Source organism: Homo sapiens, chromosome 16 (genome assembly GCF_000001405.40).
Source record: "Homo sapiens chromosome 16, GRCh38.p14 Primary Assembly".
Taxonomy (NCBI): Eukaryota; Metazoa; Chordata; class Mammalia; order Primates; family Hominidae; genus Homo; species Homo sapiens.
This window is the reverse complement of record NC_000016.10, coordinates 10617223-10640980: the sequence shown is the minus strand read 5'-3', so window position 1 is coordinate 10640980 and position 23758 is coordinate 10617223. Positions and strand designations below refer to the sequence as shown.

Sequence of the window (23758 nt, the reverse complement as noted above, 5' to 3'; positions counted from 1 at the left end):
AAAAGAAATAAAGTATACATCTCCCCAAAGACTCAGATACAAATATTCATAGCAGCTCTTATTTGTAATAGCCCCAAAGTGGAAACAACCCACATGTCCATGAACAGGTGGCTAGATGAAAATTGTGGTCTAGCTATATGGTGGAATATTGTGCAATGAAATGAAACAGATCATTGATACACACAACAACATGAATAATTCTCAAAATAATTATGCTGAGTGAAGAAGCCAGAACCCCCTCCCTCCAAAAACAAATATATATATACTGTCAGATTCTGATGCTAGAAAGGCAAACTAATGCACCGTGACAGAAGTGTTTATCTATGATCAGTGGTTGCCTAGGGTAGGCGGAGGCAGGAGAGATGGATTGTAAAGCGGTATACAGAAACCTTTGGGAGTGATGGATTCATTCACTATCTTGATTATGGTGATGATTTCATGGGTATATACATAAGTCAAACCTCAGCTAATTGTAAACATTAAACGTGTAATTTATTGTATATCAACTATGCCTCAACAAAGCTGTAAAGCTTAAAAAAATCTATTTTTTAAAAAGTCACGTACAGACCAGTCATGGCGGCTCACATGCCTGTATTCTCAGTGCTTCAAGAGGTTGAGGCGGCAGGATCACTTTAGGTCAGGAGTTTGAGACCAGCCTGGGCAACAGAAAGTTAGCTGAGTGTGGTGGCAGGCACCTGTAGTCCCAGCTACTGAGGAAGCTGAGGTGAGAGGATCACTGGAGCCCGGGAGGCAGAGGTTGCAGTGAGCCATGATCCTGCCACTGCTCTTCAATCTGAGCAACAGAGACCCTGTCACACGGAGGAGGAGGAGGGGAAGAAAGGGGGAGGAGGAAGGGGGGAGGAGGAAGACGGGAGGAGGGGAGAGGGAAGGAAGGAAGGAGAAGAAGGAGAAAGAAAAAGGAGGAGGAGGAGGAAGAGAAAGAAGGAGAAGGGGAAGAGAAAGACTGAGGAGGAGGAAGAGGAGGAAGAAAAAGAAGAAAGAAGAAGCATGCATAAGCTTTAGGGGTGGGCTGGTGGGAGATCAGACTGTGAGGCAGTGCCAGCCTCCAGTCCCAAGGCAGATCTGGGAGCAGGCACTAGGATGCAGATGCAGAGGGGACACAGAAGGGGACAGGTGGGCCTGGACCCTCCCCAGGAGTGGCTCACACTCTGATTGGGGGACCCAACCTACCCTGCTGTGAACCAGTCTGTCTGAGGTGTGTTAGTGGAGACACAAACCTTTGCTTATGCCAGAGATGTGATTTGTTTCAATTGGGAGGATGGGATGAGGCTTCTTGGAAACAATGGTATTTCAATGTATTGGTGTCTTATTTGAAAAATAGACTGTGAGCACTGGAATAGCTGACCTCTGATGAGCACTTAGTATGTGCTAGGGACTCTTGGAAAGCTGCACATGCAGTATTCCATTTTTTTCTTGTCACACACTTGATGGGAGGGCACTTTTATCACCTCCATTTAAGGACATGGATGCCCAAGGTCTTATAGGTATAGGTCTTTTAGGTATAGTGGTGATACCAAGATTTGGCCCCTGGTGGTCTAATTTCCAATTCAGCACTCCTATTATTCCCAATCTGTCTCTGGTGTGTGAGTGTGTGGATGGAGAATATATTGGAATGTACAACTGTTTGGGTTTTTTGTTTTTTGTTTTTTGGAGATAGGGTTTTTGTTTTTTGGACTCCAGGCTGGAGTGCAGTGGTGCGATCATAGCTCACTGCAACCTTGAACTCCTGGGCTCAAACAGTTCTCCATCCTCAGCCTCCCAAGTAGCTGGGACTACAAACGTGCACCACCATGCCTGGCTAACTTTTAAAATTATTTTGTAGAGATAAGGTCTTGCTCTGTTGGCCAGGCTGGTCTCAAACTCCTGGGCTCAAGTGATTCCACCACTTTGGCCTCCCAAAATGTTGGGATTACAGGTGTGAGCCACTGCACCCAAACTTGAGTATGATTTGAAGGTGCCTTTGGGACCCTTATGTTGTAAATCATTGTCACTTATCACTAGTCTAAAATGGAAAAGGTAGACGGTATTGAACAAATGTTGAATTAATTACCCCCATCACTTGCAGATAGTACTTTTTGTTTTACATCATAGTCTTGTCTGTCTCTTTCCCCAGACTTCCATGGTTTTGATGATGAATCTTTCAAGTAAGGCTTCACTGGTTGTTTCTTTGAATTATCCTCTTCATTAATTATGGTGAACAGGGTAGAAATGGTCAAAGATGTTGACTCACTGTGGTCTTGTATAAGGTAGCAGTCACATTCACAAAGCAGATGCCCTTGTATGGAACAGCAGGTGCATCTCTAGCAGGTGACCCCATGAAGATGTTCCTGGTGGAGCTGATGAATAGCTTCTTTAGGTGGTATGGAGTGTCTGGGCAAATGAAATCGAACTCTTCATGATCATGAGTTGCACTGGCACATCCTTCTGATCATTGAAGGCCATCATGGCAGGACATCACTGCCTCATTTCTAGGCTTCTCAGGGACTGAGCACATGCAACCTCACCATTGTGTCCTGCTGAGTCTGGGAAGGGGTGTCAAGACAGCCTGTCCTCAAAGGGCCTTGTCGCAGAAGAGGGACACCGTGACCAGCAGAACTGCTCACAGGTCAAGGGCCACTGGGTGACAATAGGGTAGAGAGTGGATGTTTCAGTCACGGTCAGGTGACATCGTTTAGTGCCAGTGTCTCAGTTCCGGGTGTTTGTGGTTGGCCAAGTGCAAGGACAGCTTCCTTCTGGAATAAATGCATAGGCTTTTGAGCCCATTCTTTGTTCATTCTCTCGTTCTTTTATTTTTTGTTGTGGAAAGTTTCAAACACACAGAAGTAGAGAGAATCATATAAAAGACTCCCACCAGGTGCTGTGGGTCACACCTGTAATCCCAGCACTTTGGGAGGTTGAGGCATGATGGTTGCTTGAGCCCAGGAGTTTGAGACCAGTCTGAGCAACATAGCAAGCCCCAATCTCTTGAAAAAAATTAAACAATTAGCCAGGTGTGGTGGTGTGTGACTGTAATCCCTGTTACTTGCCAGGCTGAGGCGGGAAGATCATTTGAGCCCTGGAGGTCGAGGCTGTGGTAAGCTGCGATTGCGCAACTGCACTCCAGCCTGAGTGTCAGAGCAAGACCCTGTCTCAAAAAAATGAAATAAATGAAAGACTTTCATGTACCCAACACAAATGTTGACATTTCACCACTCGCGTCTTGTATTTGACTTTTTCTGATTTTCATTGTATTTTCTGTTGAGGCATCACAGTCAGTAAAGCTTACAGCTTGATGGATTTTGAAGATGAATTTTCATCTATGTTTATATCTGTGAAACCTTCAGATCAAGATGTAGAACATTCTCAGACCTTAGCAGGCTCTTGCCTGCCCCTCCCTGAGATCTGCACTTTCATAAATTGTAGGGTACAATGGTGACATCATATTGGGAAAAATATCTTGACAGATAAAAAGTTTTGTCTTCCTTCTTGCCTTCCTTTCTCCCTCCCTTCCTCTCCCCTCTCCCCTCCTCCTTCCTCCTCCCCTCCCTCCCTTCTTGCATTCTTATATCCTTCCCTTCTTCCTTCTTTATTCACTGATCTAGTTATTAAGAGGGTAAACTCTGGATTTTTTTTTTTTTTAAAGCGGGCTGGGTGTGGTGGCTCATGCGTGTAATCCCAGCACTTTGGGAGGCCGAGGCAGGTGGATCCCTTGAGGTCAGGAGTTTGAGACAAGCCTGGCCAACATGGCGAAACCCCATCTGTACTAAAAATACAAAAATCAATCCTGGGTAACACGGTGAAACCCCGTCTCTACTAAAAATATAAAAAAAAATTAGCCAGGCATGGTGGCAGGCACCTGTAATCCCAGCTACTCTGGAGGCTGAGGCAGGAGAATGGCGTGAACCCCGGAGGCGGAGTTTGCAGTGAGCCGAAATCGCACCACTGCACGCCAGCCCTGGTGACAGAGCGAGACTCCGTCAAAAAAAAAAAAAAAAAATCAGCCAGGTGAGGCAGCAGGTGCCTGTAATCCCAGCTACTTGGGAGACTGAGGCAGGAGAATCACTTGAACTTGGGGGGCGGAGTTTGCAGTGAGCCCAGATCACAGCACTGCACTCCAGCCTGGGCGACAGAGCGAGACTCCCTGTCAAAATAATAATAATAATAATAATGGAAAATACATACAGATCCAGAGTTTACTTTCTTAGTAATTAAGAAGGTAATTACTAAGAAGGTAAACTCTGAGTCTGTTTGAATACACACACACACACACACACACACACACACACACACGTATGTATGTATATATGAAAAAACCCAGATGAAGTGAAACTGGCTTAGAGATTGGCTTAGAGATTATTTCAGATTAACAGTCTCTGTCAATCTGAAAGGCCTGCCTTCCTCCTTCCCTTCCTCTCCCTCTTCTTCTCCCTCACTCCCTTACTTTGCTTTCTTCCTGCTGAGCACTGATTGGCAACTCTAATGGCTATTGGAGGTTCAGAACAAAACCAACCATGATACTGGCCCGTCTTCCATGTCCACAGTGCCCCGGTGACAAGAGGATACCTGAAGCGGCTTCTCAGGGTTTCTAACCCTTTTTTTTTTTTTGAGACAAAGTCTCGCTCTTGTCCCCCAGGCTGGAGTGCGGTGGCACAATCTCAGCTCACTGCAACCTCCGCCTCCCGGGTTCAAGCGATTCTCCTGCCTCGGTCCCCCGAGTAGCTGGGATTACAGGCGCCTGCCACCACGCCCGGCTAATTTTTGTTTTTTTAGTAGAGACGGGGTTTCACCACGTTGGCCAGGCTGATCTAGAACCCCTGACCTCAGGTGATCCACCCATCTCGGCCTCCCAAAGTGCTGGGATTACAGGCATGAGCCACCGCGCCCAGCCTCAAGGTTTCTTAGGAAGGGTGAGCTTCCTGCCCTAAAGGTGCTCAAGGCCGGGGAAGGAGTATCTTAAGTGCCTGGCTGGAGGCTGACCTAGCTGACTTGCTCCCCCCAGGCCCCCAGTCAGAGGAGGTCAGAAGGGCCTGGTGGGTGGTGACACCTGTGTGTTCCCTCGCAGACGCTGCAGGAGATCTTCCAGGCCGAGAACACCATCATGCTGCTGGAAAGGTCCATCATGGCCAAGGAGGGCCCGCTGAAGGTGGCCCAGACAAGGCTGGAGTGCCGGACCCGGCGCCCCAACATGGAGCTGTGCAGGGACATCCCGCAGTTGAAGTAAGTGAGGGAGGCCAGAGGAGGCAGGAGAACCCCTGGGAATCCAGGAACGGGAAGGGGTGAGTCTCAGGAGCTTCTAGGTGCACTGGGTCTGAAAAATGGACCCTCCTTCAATCAGGACATCCAGTCCCACAACTCAGTAGAGTGCAGGGTGTGGGTGGAGTTCTGAGATGCAGCTCGGGCTGTACCACTGCGTGGCTTCCTCATCACTGGGAGCCCCACCCTGTGCACTGTGGTCTTCTCACTTGCCTAAACTAGGGGTGGTTTTGTAACTCTGTTGTGCTCTAGAAACCCTCTTGTTTCACTTGAAAGCCAAGGCAATGAATGGTCGCCTCCCAGGTGGTGGCTTTACCTTCTCTCTCCAGGCTTCCATGAAAGAGGCACCCATTCCTCACTCATTTCCCACCTCCCTTTTTGTAAAGTTCTTACCATGAAGCCCTGGAAGAGCCTCATGAGCTCCTGGCTGGTGGATCCCACCCATCCTGCTGTGCTAAAGAGGCTGGTGTCTGTTGACGAAGGGCTTTCTCACAGGACAGGGGTCAAAAGCTCATGCCAGCCCAGAAAGGAGGTTTGTGGGGGGTGGGGGGTGGGGATTGTAATAGGATGATGGCCAGGCCAAGAAGGAACAGGTCATCAGATATGGGGATTATTTCCCATGAACGTGCTGTATGACTTGGGGCAAACCACTTGGCCACTCTGTTCTCCCCATGCTAGGGGCATTATCTTAGTTGTCTATTGCTGTGTAATAAAGTACCCCAAAAGGTAGTGACTTGAAAGAACCACATTTGTTATCTCAGTTTCCGTGGGTTAGGAATTGGGCTAGGTTCCTTGCTATGTTGTACATGTCAGGGTCTTCCGCAGGTTGCAATCAAGCTGTCAGCTGGGGCTGTGGTCTTATCTCAAGGCTGGACTGGGGAAGGTTCCACATCCAAGCTCACTCCCATGCTTGTTGGTAGAACTCAGTTCTTTGCTGGCTGTTGGCTGGCAGCCACCCTCATTCACCCATGGGTCTCTCCAGCATGGTGGCTTGCTTCAACAAAGCATGCAAACCAGAAGGACAATGACAGTACCAGCCACAAGGATGTCACAGTCTTTTGTAACCTAACCATGGAAGTGACAGTCCATCACTCTTTCTGCATGCTCTTCTTTAGAAGCATCTCTAGGTCCACACTCAAGGATGTGATGCCAGGAGGACCCCACATCATTGAGGGTCATCCTTGGAGCATCCTCCTATGGGCACTAACAGGGTTTCCGGTGGAGGGGGAAGAGACTGAGTCTGGCCCCATTTCAGCTGCTCATTTGCTCCATAAACCTTATTCTGCATTCACTGTGCCCAGGGCTGTGCTCACCGGGTTTCATAGCAGTACTTCTTTTGACAAGATACTGAGTTGATATCCCCCAAGAGAAAAAGATTGAAAGGACCATCCTCAGGCTTCCTTGGGCATATTATTTCAGCCCTAGCCTACAGCAAGGGAAGTTCACCCTGATGGCTAACTGCAATCCCTTGAACTTCTTTTGAGTTCTTTGCCCTTTAGTCTCACTCCTAGGGGAGTTGGGAAGTCAGTTACTCCTACTGTTGTCAAATGGGAAGATAAATTGAGGTCCAGAGAGGTTGAAAAAGCTGTCCCAGTCACACAGCACTAAGCCAGGGCTTCACTGGGCAGGGAGCACAGGTCTTGGTCCAGCGATGGACCCTGCTCCCTCCATCCTGGTGTGGAGACCCCACTGCTAGATGTGAAAAGATGTCAAGAAGAGAGCTATCAGTTAGGAGAAGGAGGATAGATAATCAAGAAAAAGTGTTGGGTGGTGCCCAAGCGATGATTTTTGCACAGCCTCAGTTACCGCCTGAGTAACCATTTAGGAAATGGAAAAAGCAGGTTATGTGTTGGGGTGGGGTGGAGGGGCAGGCAAATTGATCCAAGGCTTTGAACTTGAGGGTCTGGGGTCCCTCCCACTTTGGAAGGCCGAGGCAGGAGGATCACTTGAGGCCAGGAGTTTGAGACCAGCCTGGACAACACAGCAAGACACTATCTCTAAAAAATAAAATACAAAACTTAGCCAGGCATCGTGACATGTACCTGTAGTCCCAGCTACTCAGGAGGCTGAGGCAGAAGGATTGCTTAAGCCCAGGAGTTGGAGGCTGCAGTGAGCTATGATTGCGCCATTGCACTCCATCCTGGGCAACAGAGCAACACCCAGCAGACCTGCTGCTGGCTTGCTAGGTCTTCAGCCCTGGAAGTGAGATGGATAGGGTCTAGGTCCTGGGTGCAGGAGAGTGGGGGCTGGGCTCTGCTGACCTCTCTTCCCTCTGCCCCTGCTTCTTCGATGCTCAGGCTGAACCCCAGTACCTCCTGAAGTGGAGGGCTCAGGTGATCCCTTTGCCTCCCCAACGAGAGTTTTTTTTTAATTGAGTCTTGCTCTGTTGCCCAGGCTGGAGTGCAGTGGCACGATCTTGGCTCACTGCAACCTCCACCTCCCGGGTTCAAGAGATTCTCCTGCCTCAGCCTCCCGAGTAGCTGGGATTACACTCGCCTGCCACCATGCTCGGCTAATTTTTGTATTGTTAGTAGAGTCAGGGTTTCACCATGTTGGTCAGGCTGGTCTCAAACTCCTAACCTCAAGTGATCCAGCCACCTTGGCCTCCCAAAGTGCTGGGATTACAGGCATGAGCCACAGTGGCGGCCCCGCCAGGGGACTTCTACAGAACAGGGCTTCTGGGGGAGTTGCCTGGAGGACCTACTGCTTTGGGGCAAGCTCTCTGCCTTCCCGTTTCCCGTTCAACAGTCATACCACTGAGGAGGACAGACAGAAAGCAAGGAGGTGGAGCATGTTTGGTTCAGGAGCCGGGCCGTGTGTGTGTGTGTGTGTGTGTGTGTGTGTGTGTGTGTGTGTGTCTGCATCTGTGTATGTTGTGTTTTGGTTTGTATGCATGGCTGTCTTCGGAATTGAGCAGATGATAGGATTCAGGCTGTCTCCCTTCTCCAGTGGCTAAATTGTCCCATCTGTGCATGATCTTCCTTGTCCCCGTCCTCTCCATTCCTGCCTTTGGGCCATCTTTTTCCTTTTCCTCCTATAAGTGGTCTCTCTTCTCCTGACCTACTCCAATCACTAGGGTCCCATCCATGCCTATCCCCCAGAAAGAAAGTCCATTTAAAATTGAACTTTAAAGGCTAGGTGTGGTGGTTCAGACCTGTAACCCCAGCACTTTGGGAGGCTGAGGTGGGAGGATCACATGAGGCCAGGAGTTCGAGATGAGCCTGGACAACATAGCAAGACCCCATCTCTACAAAAAATACAAAAATTAGCCAGGCATGGTGGCATGCCTATAGTCCAAGCTACTTAGGAGGCTAAAGCAGGAAGATTGCTTAAGCACAGAAGTTGGAGGCTGCAGTGAGCTATAATCGTGCCACTGTACTCCATCCTGGGGAACAATGCAACACCCTGTCAAAAAAAAAACCATAAACTGAATTTTAATGAAAATTAAATAAAGTTAAAAATTCAATTCCTTATTCACAATAACCACATTTCAAGGGCTCAGTATCCACATGTGGCTAGGGTTCACCATATCAGACAACATAGCACAGAATATCTCCCTTGCTCTAGAAAGTTCTATTGGACAGAGCTGGTGGAAGTTTCCAGGCTGCTTCTGTCACTTCTCTTTGCTTCTCTCTAGCCCAGGCTTCCCATGGGGAAGTTCACCCAGCTTCATGTCCTCTGGTCCTGAGCACAGTTTCACTGTCTCTTCTCCCCAGAGGTGGGACCCGCAGCACAGTCCCACAACCAAGCCACCATCACAGCTCACCTTGCCGCATTCATTTCCCAGGGCTGCTATCACAAATTACTACAAACTGGGTGGCTACAGACAACAGAAGTTTATTCCCTCACAGCTTTGGGGGCCAGAAGTCCCAAATCAAGGTTGCTGTTCCTGGAGGCTCTGAGAGAGGCTCTGTTCCCTTCCACTCTCCCAGCTCCGGAGGGCTGTCAGCAATCCTTGGCGTCCCTCAGCTTGTAGCCGCATCGCTCCCATCTCTGCCTTCGTCTCCACATGGCCTTCTCTCCTGCATGTCTCCATGTCTCAAACCTCCCTCTCCTTTCTCTTATCAGGAGATCAGTCATTGGATTTAGGTGTCACCCTAAATCCAGGATGATCTCATCTTAAGATCCTAAACTTCATTACAGCTGCAAAGACCCTATTTCCTAATAACATTACACGCACCAGGGCTTAGGACTTGAACATATCTTTCTGAGGAACACCACCCGATCCGCTCCATGTGGATTCACAATAACCTCCTAACCTTTCTCCTGCCTCTACTCTTGCCCCCTTCCAATCTCATCTTACACAGCAGCCTGGAGGTTATCCCGAAACTCGAGTCAGCATGCCATTCCCCTGTTTCAACCCTCCCCCGCCCCCACCCCATGGCTTCCCACAGCACTGAGAACAAACCCAAGCCCTTTAATTTTGCATGTGCTTTTCTCTCTCTCTCTCTCTCTTTTTTTTTTTTTTTTTTGAGATGGAGTCTTGCTCTGTTGTCCAGGCTGGAGTGTAATGGTATGATCTCATCACACTGCGACCTCTGCCTCCCGGGTTCAAGCAATTCTCCTGCCTCAGCCTCCCGAGTATCTGGGATTACAGGCACCTGCCACCACACTTCGCTAATTTTTGTGTGTGTGTGTGTGTGTATATATATATATATGGACATAGATATAGATATATTTTTAGTAGGGACTGCGTTTCACCATGTTGGCCAGGCTGGTCTCAAACTCTCTACCTCAAGTGATCTGCCACTTCAGCCTCCCAAAGTGCTGGGATGACAGGCTGCAACCTCTGCCTCCTGGGTCAGCCTCCCAAATAGCTGTGATTACAGGTGTGCACCATGACACCTGGCTAATTTTTTTCTATTTTTAGTGGAGACGGCATTTTGCCACCATGTTGACCAGGCTGGTCTCGAACCCCTGACCTCAAGTGATCTGCCCGCCTCAGCCTCCCAAAGTGCTGGGATTACAAGTGTGAGTCACCACGCCTAGCCAAAATTTAAGTTTTAAATTAATACAGCTAAAATTCAGGTTCTCAATTGCATGGCCACATTCAAGTGTTCATTAGCCCCATGGGGCTGGTGGGTACCATATTTGATGGTGCAGATATAGATCTTTCCATTTTTGCAGAAAGTTCTACTCCACGGCACTGCTGCAACATACTTTCCCTCTTGGCCTTCAACATGTCCAGCTAAGTCTTATCTTTCTTCTCTGCTCAAAGTCCTCTCCTGGGAGGCGGAGGGAGGAGGATCACTTAAGCCCAGGAGTTTGAGACCAACCTGGAGGCAAAAAAATAAACCCCATCTCTATAAAAACTTTTTTTTTTAATTAGCCAGGTGTGGTGGTGCCTGCCTGTAGCCTCAGCTATTTGGGAGGCTGAGACAGGAGGATCTCTTGAACCCAGAGGTTTGAGGCTGCAGTAAGCTATGGTGGCACCACTACACTCCAGCCTAGGTGACAGAGGGAGATCTGGTCTAAAAAAAAAAAAATTAAAATCAGCTGGGTGCGGTGGCTCATGCCTGTAATCTCAGCATTTTGGGAGGCTGAGTTGTGCAGATTGCTTGAGCCCGGGAGTTTGAGACCAGCCTGGGCAACATGGTGAAACCCTGTCTCTACAAAACATTAAAATTAGCCTAGTGCAGTTTTGCACGCCTGTAGACCCAGGTACTTGGGAGGCTGAGGCTGGAGGAACGCTTAAGCCAAGGAAGTTGAGGCTGCAGTGAGCTTTGACTGCACCACTGCACTCTGGCCTAGACAGAGTGAGACTCTGTCTCAAAAAGAAAAAAGAAAAAAAGTCCTCCCCTCGGAAAGTTCTAGATAAGCAAAGCCTCAGAAGGAGAGGGGTGAGGAAGTAGTACGGGGCAGCCCAGTCCCAGCTGATCCTGCAAGGGGCGCCAGACCTTGAAGTGCATCACAGAGATGTCTGCACCAGAGGCCCTTTGTACCTGAGTCAGCCAAGCCATTGTCTGTGGCCGCTGGCAGGGACTATCCTCCCAGGTGAGATAGCTCAGATTGGCTGAGCAACTTAATTGCCTGGAGAACTGCGGACCTGTGAGCCATTAGCAGCCAACACTCACTCGTAGCAGCTGGGGATGGTGCCCTGGCCAGTAAGGAAGACCTGAGTGAGGCTCTTATCTAGACAAGGCTGGCCCTGTTATCCTGTTTATTAAAAAATTATAGGGCCAGGCGTGGTGGCTCATGCCTGTAATCCCAGCACTTTGGGAGGCTGAGACTGGCGGATTGCCTGAGCTTAGGAGTTCGAGACCAGCCTGAGCAACATGGTGAAACACTGTCTCTACTAAAACATGAAAAATTAGCTGGGTGTGGCGGCACGTGCCTGTAATCCCAGCTACTTGGGACGCTGAGGCAAGAGAATTGCTTGAACCCGGGAGGCAGAGGTTGCCGTGAGCCGAGATTGCACCACTGCACTCCAGCCTGGATGACAGGGCGAGACTCCATCTCAAAAAAAAAAAAAAATTGTGATAAAATACATGTAACACAAAATTTACCATCAGTGACATCTGGTACATTCACGATGTTGTGCAACCCTCACCACTCTCTAGTTCTGTGATGTTTTCATCAACCCAAAAGGAAACCCCGTACCCATTAAGCAATCTTCTACATTCTCCCCACCGCCTGACCTCTGGAAGCCACCAGTTAACTTTCTGTCCGTATGGCTTTGCCTCTTCTGGACATTTCCTGTGCATGCAGTCACGCAATATTTGTCCTTTTGTGTCTGGCTTCCTTTATTTAGCATCATGTTTTTCAAGGTTCATTCATGTTGTTGCAGGTATTAGTATTTCATTCCTTTTTTTTTTTTTTTTTGAGACAGAGTTTCGCTCAGGCTCCCAGGCTGGAGTGCAATGATGTGATCTCAGCTCACTGCAACCTCTGACTCCCGGGTTCAAGAGCTTCTCCCACCTCAGCCTCTCGAGTAGCTGGGATTACAGGCACCCACCATCATGCCTGGCTAACTTTTTGTATTTTCAGTAGAGATGGGGTTTCACCATGTTGGCCAGGCTGGTCCTGAACTCCTGACCTCAGGTGATCCACCTGTCTCAGCCTCCCAAAGTGCTGGGATTTCAGGCGTGAGCCACCATACCCAGCTGTATTTCATTCCTTTTTATTATAGCTGAATAATCTCCCATTCTGTGGCTCGATTACATTGTGCTTATCCACTCATCCATCCATCCACAGACATTTGAGCTGCTTCCACCTTTTGGTTATCGTGAATAGGGCTGCCGTGAACATTCATGTACATATTTTGGTTTGAACGCCTGTTTTCTGTTCTTTTGGGTATATACCCGGGAGCGGAACTGCTGGACTGTGTGGTAAGTCTATGTCTAACTTATCGAGGAATCTCCAGATTGGTCTCCTATCCTGTTTTACCATCCTGTCTTATTTCTTCCTTTGTGTACATTACCCTTGACAGTTCTCTTGTGTATTTACTTGTCTACCTGTTCTGCCTCTGCCTTCCCCTGGAGGGCCGAGCCTTGCCTGTCTTGCTTGCTGCTGTCTCTCAGTGCCAGGCACAGTTCCCAGTGCACAGTGAGTGCATCTACCTTGAACCGAATAACCTGTGCTAGGTCGGGCACCATAGCTCATGCTTGTAATCCCGGCACTTTGGGAGGCCAAGGCAAGTGGATCAACTGAGGTCAGGAGTTCTTGACCAGCTTGACCAGCATGGTGAAACCCTGCCTCTAATAAAAAAAAAAATACAAAAATTAGCTGGGTGTTGTGGTGCATGCCCGTAATCCCAGCTACTCGGGAGGCTGAGGCAGAATTACTTGAACCCGGGAGGCAGAGGTTGCAGTGAGCCGAGATTGTGCCACTGCACTCCAGCCTGGGTGACAGAGTGAGACTCTGTCTCAAAAAATAAACAAATAAAAATAAATGAATAACCTGTGCCTTCTCCTCTGCCCTCACCCCAGGCTGGTGAACGAGGTGTTCACCATCGACGACACCCTGCAGACCCTCAAGCTGCGGCTGCGGGAGACACAGGACACGCTGCAGCTGCTGGTCATGACCAAGTGCCGGCTGGAGCACGAGCTCGCCATCAAGGCCAACACCCTCTGCATCGACAAGGAGAAGTGCATGGGCATGCGTAAGACCTTCCCCTGCACCCCGCGCCTGGTGGGCCACACCTGAGCACCGCCCTGGCGCCTCATTCCGCGCTGGCGTAAAATTGGAAAAGGCTGAGAAACAAAGTAAAACAGTATTTTGTTTGAAAGGGCCGACTTTCTTTTTTTCTTATCTGTTTCTTCTCTGCCTGCCTTTCTTTCTTTCTTTCTTTTTCTTTCTTTTCTTGCTTTCTTTTTCTTTCTTTCTCTTTCTTTCTTTCCTTTCTTTTCTCTCTCTCTCTCTATCACCTGCTTGTCACCTTAGGGGCACAGTGTAAACCATGGTGTTTTAAGATTAGACTTGGCAGCTCAAAGTCTAGAGCCCAGCTCTGTCACTTAGGAGCTGTGTGGCCTCGAACAAGCTTCTAACCTGTGGTCCTCATCTATGGAATGAGGGTAGTCCGAGGTGCAGGGGACTGTCAGCAGTGTGGGGCAGAGAAAAAAACAAAAACAAAAATAACCAGGATTTGCAATCAGAAGTTCTAGATTTGAATGCCAGCCTTGGTAGATGGAGTATTTATTTATTTATTTGAGATGGAGTTTTGCTCTGTCACCCAGGCTGGAGTGCAATGGTGCAATCTTGGCTCACTGCAACCTCCACCTCCGGGGTTCAAGCGGTTTCCCTGCCTCACTAGCTGGGATGACATGCACCTGCCACCACGCCTGGCTAATTTTTGTATTTTTAGTAGAGAGATAGGTTTTCACCATGTTGACCAGGCTGATCTCAAACTCCTGACCTCAGGCGATCCACCCATCTCTGCCTCCCAAAGTGCTGGGACTACAGGCATGAGCCACTGTGTCTGGCTGTTGGAGTGTTTTAGAAATACCTATGGGAGGCCAGGTGTGGTGGCTCACGCCTGTAATCCCAGCAGTTTGGGAGGCCGAGGTGGGCGGATCACGAGGTCAGGAGATCGAGACCATCCTGGCTAACACGGTGAAACCCCATCTGTACTAAAAATACAAAATATTAGCCGGGTGTGGTGGCAGGTGTCTGTAGTCCCAGTTACTTGGGAGGCTGAGGCAGGAGAATGGAGTGAACCTGGGAGGCAAAGCTTGCAGTGAGCCGAGATTGTGCCATTGCACTCCAGCCTGGGCAACAGAGCGAAACTCCGTCTTAAAAAAAAAAAAAAAAAAAAGAGAGAAATAGCTATGGGAGGCCAGGTGCGGTGGCTCATGCCTGTAATCCCAGCACTTTGGGAGGCCGAGGTGGGTGGATCACTTGAGGCCAGGAGTTCTAGACCACCCTGGCCAAGGTGGGGAAACCACATCTCTACTAAAAATCCAAAAATTTGCCAGGTGTGTTGGTGCAAACCTGTAATCCCAGCTACTGGGGAGGCTAAGGTGGGAGAATTGCTTGAACCTGGGAGACGGAGGTTTCAGTGAGGCAAGATTATGCCACTGCACTCCTCAAAAAGTAGTTACACATAAAACTGCCCTATGACTCAGCAATTTCACTCCTAGATGTTTACCCAAGAGAAGTGAAAACGATCCTCAAATACTCATACACGAATGTTCAGAGCAGCACTGATCACATTAGTCAAAGGGTGGAATGACCCAAATGTCTATCCGTGGATGGATGGGAAAACGAAATGTGCTGAATCCGTACAACGGAGTCTGATTCAGCCATAAAACGGAATGAAGCACTGATCCATGGTACAACGTGGATGAACCTTGAAAACAGGATGCTAAGTGAAAAAAGTCAGACACAAATCCCACATAGTGTATGATTCCATTTATATGAAATGTCCAGAATAGGCAAATCCAAAGAAATAGATGTGATTGCTGGGAGAAGGTAATGGGCGTGACTGCTTAGTGTGTGCAGGGTTTTCCTTTGGAGTGATGAAGATGTTTTGGAACTAGAGAGAGTTGGTTGCACAACATTGTGAGTCCACTAAATGACATAGAATTGTTGCACTCCAGCCAGGCTGCAGTGCAATGGTGCGATCTTGGCTCACTGCAACCTCCGCCTCCTAGGTTCAAGCATTTCTCCTGCCTCAGCCTCCCAAGTAGCTGGGACTACAGGTGCCCGCCACCACGCCTGACTAACTTTTTGTATTTTTAGTAGAGACAGGGTTTCACTGTGTTAGCCAGGATGGTCTCGATCTCTTGACCTCAAGATCCGCTTGCCTCGGCCTCCCAAAATGCTAGATTACAGCCATGAGCCACTGCACCCAGCCAGGCCTCTGTTTCTTAATATACCTCTTCTGTAGGGGATTTCACTCCTTCCCCTCTTTTTTTTTTTTTTTTCTTCTTTTTTGAGATGGAGTTTCATTCTTGTCACCCAGGCTGGAGTGCAATGGCATAATCTCGGCTCACTGCAACCTTTGCCTCCCTGGGTTCAAGCGATTCTCCTGCCTCAGCCTCCCGAGTAGCTGGAACTGCAGGCGCACACCACTGTGCCAAGCTAATTTTTTGTATTTTTTAGCAGAGACAGGGTTTCACCATGTTGGCCAGGCTGGTCTCGAACTCCTGATCTCAGGCGATCTGCCCACCCCGGCCTCCTAAAGTGCTGGGATTACAGGCATGAGCCCAGCGTGCCTTCCCCTCCTTTTAATCCCATTCATCCCCCCACTGACTCCCAAACTTCTGGCTTCTAAATCCAGGCTCCTGAACTCAGCTCCTGACGACATTTCTAGCTTTACTCGCCCAGCTCCAGGCCACGCTCTGTTCCTCCCTCAGTAAATGCCCCACCAGCCGATCCTCAACCTTGAACTCATCCTTGATTCCTCTCTTTCTCCCACACCCCACATTTAATTCATCAGCAAGTCAGGTGCATACTACCTTCCTAATCTTTCCTGAAATTGGCCACTGCTCGCCTTCTCTTCTGTTACCATCTGAGGTAAGCACCTATTATGTCTCCTGGGCAACGTGGGCAACAGGTACAGTGGGGAATGCAGATGAGTCAACTTGGACTGTGACCCCCCCAGGCGCTTACAGGTGCTACGAGGAGTCACAGGGCCTATACACCACCAGATGCAGCTACATTTGGGCAGACGGGGGCCAGTGATCTTTCAGGAAAAATCAAGTTTGAAGTCAGGCACTTGAGTTGGGAAGGTCCCTGCACTTCAGTGAGCCTCAGTCACCTTGTCTGTATATAATGGTTCCCCCACCGTGAGGATGTCTAGGAAAACCTCAGCATTATTGGGACAGAATGCTTGAGCCCATCTGAGCACCAAAATATGGGTAGAAAAAAATAATAGATCTCCAACACGTTTTAAGCTATTATTGAAATGTTCGTGGATGCCATTGGGTTCAACCAATACATTATTGAATTGATACTGGCCTTCTGTTGTTATAGATTTTCTTTGACAAATCCTGAAAATATAAAGAAGGAGGCCACCTAATCTCATGTGGAGAGAGATTAGGTGGCCTCCTTCTGTCTTAATCTCTCCTCTTCTGTCATTATTTAAAAGAGGTGGTGGGATGACACCATGGTCAAGAGCAGAACCCTCCCTCCCTCCCTTCCTTCTTTCCTTCCTTCCTTCCTTCCTTTCTTTGTTCTTGAGACAGGGTTTTGCCATGTTGCGTAAGCTCCTCTTGAACTCCTGGCCTCAAGAGATCCTCCCGCCTCAGTCTCCCAAAGCACTGGGATGTCAGGTGCTAGCCACTGATCCTGGCATGAGCAGAACTTAACAACTAGATCTAATTTGACTCCACTCCTCACTAGCTGTGTTGCCCTGGGAAAGTCACTGAGTCACTGATCTCAGTTTCCCTATCTGTCAGAGGGGGCCAATATTCATTTCTCCCATTCATGGGTGACTGTGAGGACTAAGTTTGGATGATAGGACTAATACCTCCCATATCTAAGGGGTATTCAGTAATATATTAAGAATAACAGCTCATATTTATTGAGGATTTGCTCTGTGCCAGGCAATTTTAAAAGTACCATCTCATTTTAATTATCACTGAGCCCTGAAACATGGAAATGGAAATTAAGGCACAGAGAGGTTAAGAAACTTACCCATAGCCACACAGTCTCCTTATCTATATAATGGTCCCCCTAAGTGAGGATTTGCAAATAATAAATGACTGATACAGGATTTAAGTCCACTTATGAGAATCCAGGGTCTGAACTACTACTGACCACAGCTTCCCAAATAAAGAAAAAACTATTGTTTAGGGTGGACCCACAGACCAAAAAGGGTCAGGCAAAGGCCAAGCCCCACAGGGGCATCTAAAAGAGCAGAGGACCCCACAGTCTTGCTCTCAGAGGGGCTGATTTGATTAAACGTGTCTCCATTCTCTGGAGAAGAGAGTAATGATAACAATAACAATTGTAGGCCAAGGTGGGAGGATTGCTTGAGGCCAGGACTTCGAGACCAGCCTGGACAACATAGCAAGACCCCATCTCTACAAAAAAAATTCACTGGGCACGGTGGTGTGCACCTGTGGTCCCAGTTAGTTGGGAGGCTGAGGCAGGAGAATCACTTGAGTCCAGGAGTTCAAGGCTGCAATGAGCCAGGTTGGTGCCACTGCACTCCAGCCTGGAAGACTGAGCAAGACCCTATTTCTAAAACAACAACAAACAAAACAACAACAACAACTGGTGCTAACAGCTTGAATGCTTGGGAGATAGACGCCAAGTGCTCTATCTAATCCCCGTGCTCAACCCCGCTTTACAGATAAGGAAACTGAGGCACAGCGAGTCTAGGTCCCTTGCCCACAGTTACACAGCTAGGATGGGTTGGCCCTGGCCTTCAGCGCTTATGCACCCACCACCCAGGTGGCCCCCCACTGGTGCTTCTGCCCCCGCTTCTCTACTCCCAGCCAGTGTCAGTGACAAGGCACTGCCTGGGAGGGAGGCGGCTGCATTTTTTGCCTGGTCCAGAAATGTCAGTGCGTCACTGTCACACAAAGTCCTGGCTGTTGGCTCCTGTGATTCCCAAGGCACTCTAAACAAGTGTCCCTGCTCCCAGGGTGAGGGGTGGGGGGCGGAGCAGGAATGGGAGACAGGTTTAAAGCACACAATTAAAATTCCTAAGGGGCGATATGGAGTCTTATTCCACATGCAGAACATTCTTGGTCTCCATATGGCACAGGGGGCTGGGCTATAAGCCTCTTGCCGCACCTTCTCCCATCCCATGTGACCCCAGACTAGCTCCCCGGTGGAATTCTCTGTGTCTCCGAGACAGCTGGCCCCTCCCTCCCCACCCCCACCCAGCAAGGCTGCTTGGGATTCCTGGCGCTCCTCCGGGGGCAGGCACGGGTGTGGGCACCCATGGGCCGCAGAACCCTGGACAGCCTGAGTTGGGGATATCCGAGGGGCTGCTGGCCCAGGCCCCATGCCTGGTAGGTCAGCACCTGGCAGTGTGTGTGTGTGTGTGCTGGGAGTGGGTGTCTGCAGCCGCCCCTGCTGGGCCCTGGGTTGTTGGTGGTCTCGGAAGATAAGGGAGACCCATCAGCTGAGGGTGTGAATGAGAGAGACCTGCCTTCCCCAGGGGTGTGGGCCTCCTCTCCTGATAAGGGGCTGCCTTTAGGAGCTGAGAGCAGATAAGAGGCTGTCCTTATCCACGAACTGAACGGCAGATCAGGGAGGACCAGGGCGAGGCAAGGCAGGCAGGACACTGGGAGTGCAAAATCTAAGAAGTCTTCACTTTGGGTCACTTCAAGTTTTTTTTTTTTTTCTTTTCTTACTTTATTTTTATTTTTTGAGACAGGGTTTTACTGTGTCCCCCAGGCTGGAGTGTAGTGGCGTGATCTCAGCTCACTGCAACCTCTGCCTCCCAGGTTCAAGCCATTCTCATGCCTCAGCCTCCCAAGTATCTGGGACTACAGGCCCATGCTACCACACCCGGCTAATTTTTGTATTCTTTGTAGAGACAGGGTTTCACCATGTTGCCTAGGCTGGTCTTTGAACTCCTGAGATCAAGTGATCCACCTGCCTCGGACTCCCAAAGTGCTGGGATTACAGGTGTGAGCCACTGAGCCTGGCCTTTTTTTTTTTTTTTTTTTTTTTCCCAGACAGGGTCTCACTGTGTCACCCAGGCTAGAGTGCAGTGGTGTGATCATGGCTCACTGCAGCCTCCAACTCCTGGATTCAAGCAATTCCCTGCTCTCAGCCTCCAGAGTAGCTGGGACTACAGGGCTACAGGCACACACCACCCTATCCAACTAATTTTGTTTATTTCTTGTAGAGACACGGTCTCACTGTGTTGCCTAAGCTGGTCTGCAACTCCTGGCCTCAAGCGATCCTCCTAAAGAGCCTCCCGAAGTGCTGGGATTACAGGTGTGAGCCATGATGCCTGGCCTCACTTCACTCTTGATTATCTGGGGGAAGGCACTGGGGAGCAACTGCCCAAGGGTACATGGTCTCCGGTTGGCAATGAAAATGTTTTAGAACTAGATAGAGCTGATGAACATTGTGAATTCACTGTGAATACTCCTGAATGCTTTAAAATAGTTTCTATTTCATCTTGATTTTTTTGTTTGTTTGTTTGTTTTTTGTTGAGACAGAGTCTCTCTCTGTCGCCCAGGCTGGAGTGCAGTGGTGCGATCTCAGCTCACTGCAACCTCCGCCTCCCAGGTTCAAGCGATTCCCCTGCCTCAGCCTCCTGATTACAGGCGCCCGCCACCATGCCCAGCTAATTTTTGTATTTTTGGTAGAGACGGGGTTTCACCATGTTAGTCAGACTGGTCTCGAACTTCTTGGCCTCGTGATCTGCCTGCCTCGGCCTCCCAAAGTGCTGGGATTCCAGGCGTGAGCCACCGCGCCCGGCCTTCACCTTGATTTTTTAAGAAAGAGAAAGGGTCAGTTATGGCTGGTGCAGCCCATTCTCTTCCTTCCTCCAACCTTATTCTTGAACCTTTCTAAGGAAATTTCTGCATGGAAATTTCCATTAGATACAAGAAAACTTAGTGATTAAAAATTTGGAAAATATCTTGAAAATTTATGTAATAAATCAATCTATATACACATAAGGAGGACCTGCTCTCATGGCCCTTCAACTATAGGGTCTGCATTGGCACAAACCCATGGACCTCATCACATTTTACGCCTCCCTTGGCTCACCTTAGTCCCGACTCAGGCCCCTGTCACCTCTTAAGGGTGCTCTGTGCTTTTGCATCCTGTCACCCTATGTCTGTCCCAGCACAGATGACAGCTTTTCACCCTTTTTATGGGTCAGCGCTTGAGTTTAAAGCACCCACTCTTAGTCTGAAGCCCCTCTGCCTGGATTTAAATCCGAGTTCTTCAGCTCCCCCTGTGGGTGCCTCTGCCACTCACTCACACGCTCCAAGCCTTGGTTTTCTCATCTGTAAAATGGGGCCAATGACAATAGTCTCTACTCATAAGGGCTTACTTAGCAAGGGTTATTTGAATGTATATGAGGTCGGGGCCACAGAGACTGGCACACAGCAGGCTCTCACTAGCTGGTCCTGCTGGCCTAGGAGCTGTTAGGGACACCCTGCTTCAAAACGGAGAGCTACCTGGCAGGTGGGAGACCCTGCAGGGGCCTTGCCCACCTAGGACTCGCTGACTTGCACTCAGATTTAGCAAGACAGTGGTGCCTGCTGGGTGAAGGGGGCTTCTCACTCACCGCTGCCTCTGGAATAAGAGAAGGATGAGGAGAGAGATTGAGGACCCCAGGAAGCTGGGGAAGAGAGTAAATGACCTTTGGAATGGAAGGATGCAGAACACGCTGTTGGGATATGACACCCTCCCTGTCGCACCTCTCCATACTGGTTTCTCAGAAATCCCAGTGGACTTGATTTTTTTCCAGAAATGGAATAGGGAGCAGTATCATCAGTTTGCAGGGCAGGGTTCATTCTGTCCCTAACCCCCATCTGTCTTCCCTGGATTCCAGCAATTTGGTTTAGGAGCATTAAATCTAATAAAAGAGGAGATAACGAGGCTGGGTGGGGGAAAGTCTGGCTGCTGCGGAGGTGGGGAGATCGCAGATCAAGAATTATGGTAGGCGTCAGGGGCGGCGCCATGACGGTTGCATGCAAATGAAGCCACTGCAGCCCCGCCCTTTGACGCGCACCACACCCGTCACACCCCTGCGCAGACCTCGGGCATCTGGCCAGCTCTGTTCCAACCCAGCCCAGCCCACCGTGGGCACTGCCCACCTGCTCCCCCCACTGCCACTGCGTCCTACCCACCAGCTTCTGCGGGATTGAGAAGCCGCTGGGGATCCCCCTGCTCCCCGTTTCCTCCTCAAGACTTTGGAGCATATGAGGTGGTGGTAGGAGCGCGGGGCTGAGTCAGGTGCAGGGATGAGGACTCTGCCCGAGGAGCCGCATGCCTGCTCCTCTGAGCTCCCTGCGGCCCATCAGTTAGCGTCTTGGCAGGTGACCCCTTCTGGGCTGGAGGAGGTGGGTGGAATGTGTGTCGGGGGATGGGGGGTAGACCTGACATCACCTTCTGGAGAGCAAAGGGGTTTTTGGCAGTAGGACCAACAGGTTCCCTAGGGGGTGCCCACCCACCGCTGGGTCTGGGGGGATGCTGAGGCAGACACAGCCGGTGGGAGATGCCAAAACCCAGTCTACAGCTTTCTGTCTGCCAAGACAAGGAGAGGAGCGGAGCTGGGGCCTCCAGGCCACTTGGGCTTCCCCTCCTCCCTCTGCCAAGGCCTGCAGAAGCCGGGCTAGCCAGGGCCCGATAGGAAGAGGGAATTGGGAGAGAAGCCTGATTCTGCCAGAACCTGTCACGGGGCCTGTATGGCTCAGTACAGGCATCTGCTGAATGAGAAACCTTTTCAAAACAACGATCACAGCAGGCCTCTTGCACAAAACCCTCCCAGGGCTCCCCAGGGCTCCTAGGACACCCCATCTGCGGCTTCAACTCACTGCCACTTCTCCAGCTCCCCATTACCCCCGAGCTGCACTTTCCCACATCAGGGTCTTCGCGCGTGCTGTTCCCTCCTCCCTGAACATTGGTCCGTGTCCCTCCCTTCTTCCCCCAGTTCACAGCCTTGTGCTTGAGGTCACAGCTGTCAGTCAGTTTCCCAGGAAAGCCTTACTGGATCTCGCTGATGGGTCCTGTCAGCTTCTTTTTTTCCCCAGTCCAGTAGATTTCCTTTCCTTAGAATGTAGTTTCCCAAACTGCCTTGAAAATAGAGTCATGTGAAATATATATGTTTTAAAAATACAGATTGCTTGACCCTTTCCTATCCCTAGAGTCAGAAGCTCGGAGAGAGGGAGATGGGTGATGTTGAACCACCACCACGGGCTGGCAGCAGAGGGACGCCCCTACCCTAGGTTCTAAGCGCCAGGAAGTGGGCACCACCATTTCTTTATCGTTGCAACCCCACCTCCAGCACAGTGTCTGGCATGGGATCTGGCTCAAGACATTTTTATTAAGTGGATGGATGGCTATAGAATGAATGAAATTAGTCACAGTAACTAACTGTGATTCAATTCTGAGCATACTGTACTTCTTACCCGGCCTACGCAAGACTAGCCCACAAGAAGAATGCCAAGGTGGATGATGTGGGCGCTGGGAATCAGAGCTGAGAGAGAGTGAACAGGATGTTAATAAAACCCAAATGGGGTCCAGGATTGAGGCGAGTATGGGAAGAGGACACAAGTACCCACCCTGATGTAGCTGGACCCACCTCCTGCTGGGAGGGCATCTCTCCCCAAAGTCAGGTGGAGGCAGAGAATCGGTTACACCTGTTGGGGAACTGATGACCCAGACAGGACAGGGTAACAATGACAGCAATGAAGATGTGCCTTTTGGGCATCGGGATATTGCTAGGCAACTGCTTTGAGCATTTTGCACTTCAGGTCATGCATTCTAGTAGCTGCACCTGCTCCCTTGCTCCCTCTCCCTCTCCAGATCCTGCCATGCACCGCTTTCCTCTCTTTTCCCTCCCCTTCCAGTTCCTCCAAGTGTTAAACTTGGAATTGAAGTATTCCTTTCACCACGGTATGTCCTGGATTTCAAACAGCTCCTCTCTCCCTGCCAATCTCTCCATCGGAGCCCCTCTCCGTCTGTATTTGTTAATTTCAGGTTCTGTGAACATCGCCTCTGCTCTGGAGGTCAGGTGTGGTGGTGGGGCTCCTCCATCTGCTGTGAGAGTGTAGGGGTGAAGGGAGGAGGGACTGGGGGTAGCAGAAGGAGCCAGCCTCTTTCCCCAGCTCTCCTGCCTCTTGGCTTCCTACCCTGCAGCCAGGCCAGCACCCACAAGAGGCTGCAGCCTGCATTTCAGGATTTCTAGCTTGGCAGGGCGCCTGAGGGGGCAGGAAATGGAAAGAGAGGGCGGGAGGAGCCACAGGCTTTCCCAGTGCCCTGCCCAGGCTGGGATGAACAGTATCTTTGAGATCAAAAACCAACTGGCCCACACCCTGCAGAGCTGGCCTTGTCCCTGCCCCTTGATGGGAGGGGAGGGCTGAATCTGCAAAGTAGGAGGAGTGGGAGGTAGGGGCGCTAGGGAGTGGGTGGCCCC

At 49.9% G+C, this 23758-nt stretch overlaps 1 protein-coding gene across 1 annotated transcript in view, besides 3 other annotated features; it reads left to right on the top strand.

Moving 5' to 3' along the window:
• TEKT5 (tektin 5) overlaps nt 1-13480 on the top strand; it is a 67430-nt gene extending 53950 nt beyond the window's left edge. Inside the window, exons 6-7 of the mRNA NM_144674.2 lie at nt 5063-5217; nt 13182-13480. Of these exons, the coding sequence (NP_653275.1) occupies nt 5063-5217; nt 13182-13398 (372 nt within the window). The 3' untranslated portion in view covers nt 13399-13480. The remainder of the gene's footprint in view (nt 1-5062; nt 5218-13181) is intronic.
• Nucleotides 5308-5367: an enhancer, noted in NCBI's record as "active region_10384". NCBI's record gives its function as "activates an Ori minimal core promoter by ATAC-STARR-seq in GM12878 lymphoblastoid cells {active_cell/tissue: GM12878}" and the evidence as "EXISTENCE:reporter gene assay evidence [ECO:0000049][PMID:35858748]".
• Nucleotides 14675-14969: an enhancer, noted in NCBI's record as "tiled region #10228; HepG2 Activating DNase matched - State 5:Enh, and K562 Activating DNase unmatched - State 6:EnhF". NCBI's record gives its function as "activates a minimal TATA promoter and a strong SV40 promoter by Sharpr-MPRA in HepG2 cells, with weaker activation in K562 cells {active_cell/tissue: HepG2 | K562}" and the evidence as "EXISTENCE:reporter gene assay evidence [ECO:0000049][PMID:27701403]".
• Nucleotides 19032-19733: an enhancer, noted in NCBI's record as "H3K27ac-H3K4me1 hESC enhancer chr16:10715105-10715806 (GRCh37/hg19 assembly coordinates)". NCBI's record gives its function as "activates a minimal SCP1, AML or CMV promoter by ChIP-STARR-seq in primed H9 embryonic stem cells {active_cell/tissue: H9 hESC(primed)}" and the evidence as "EXISTENCE:reporter gene assay evidence [ECO:0000049][PMID:30033119]".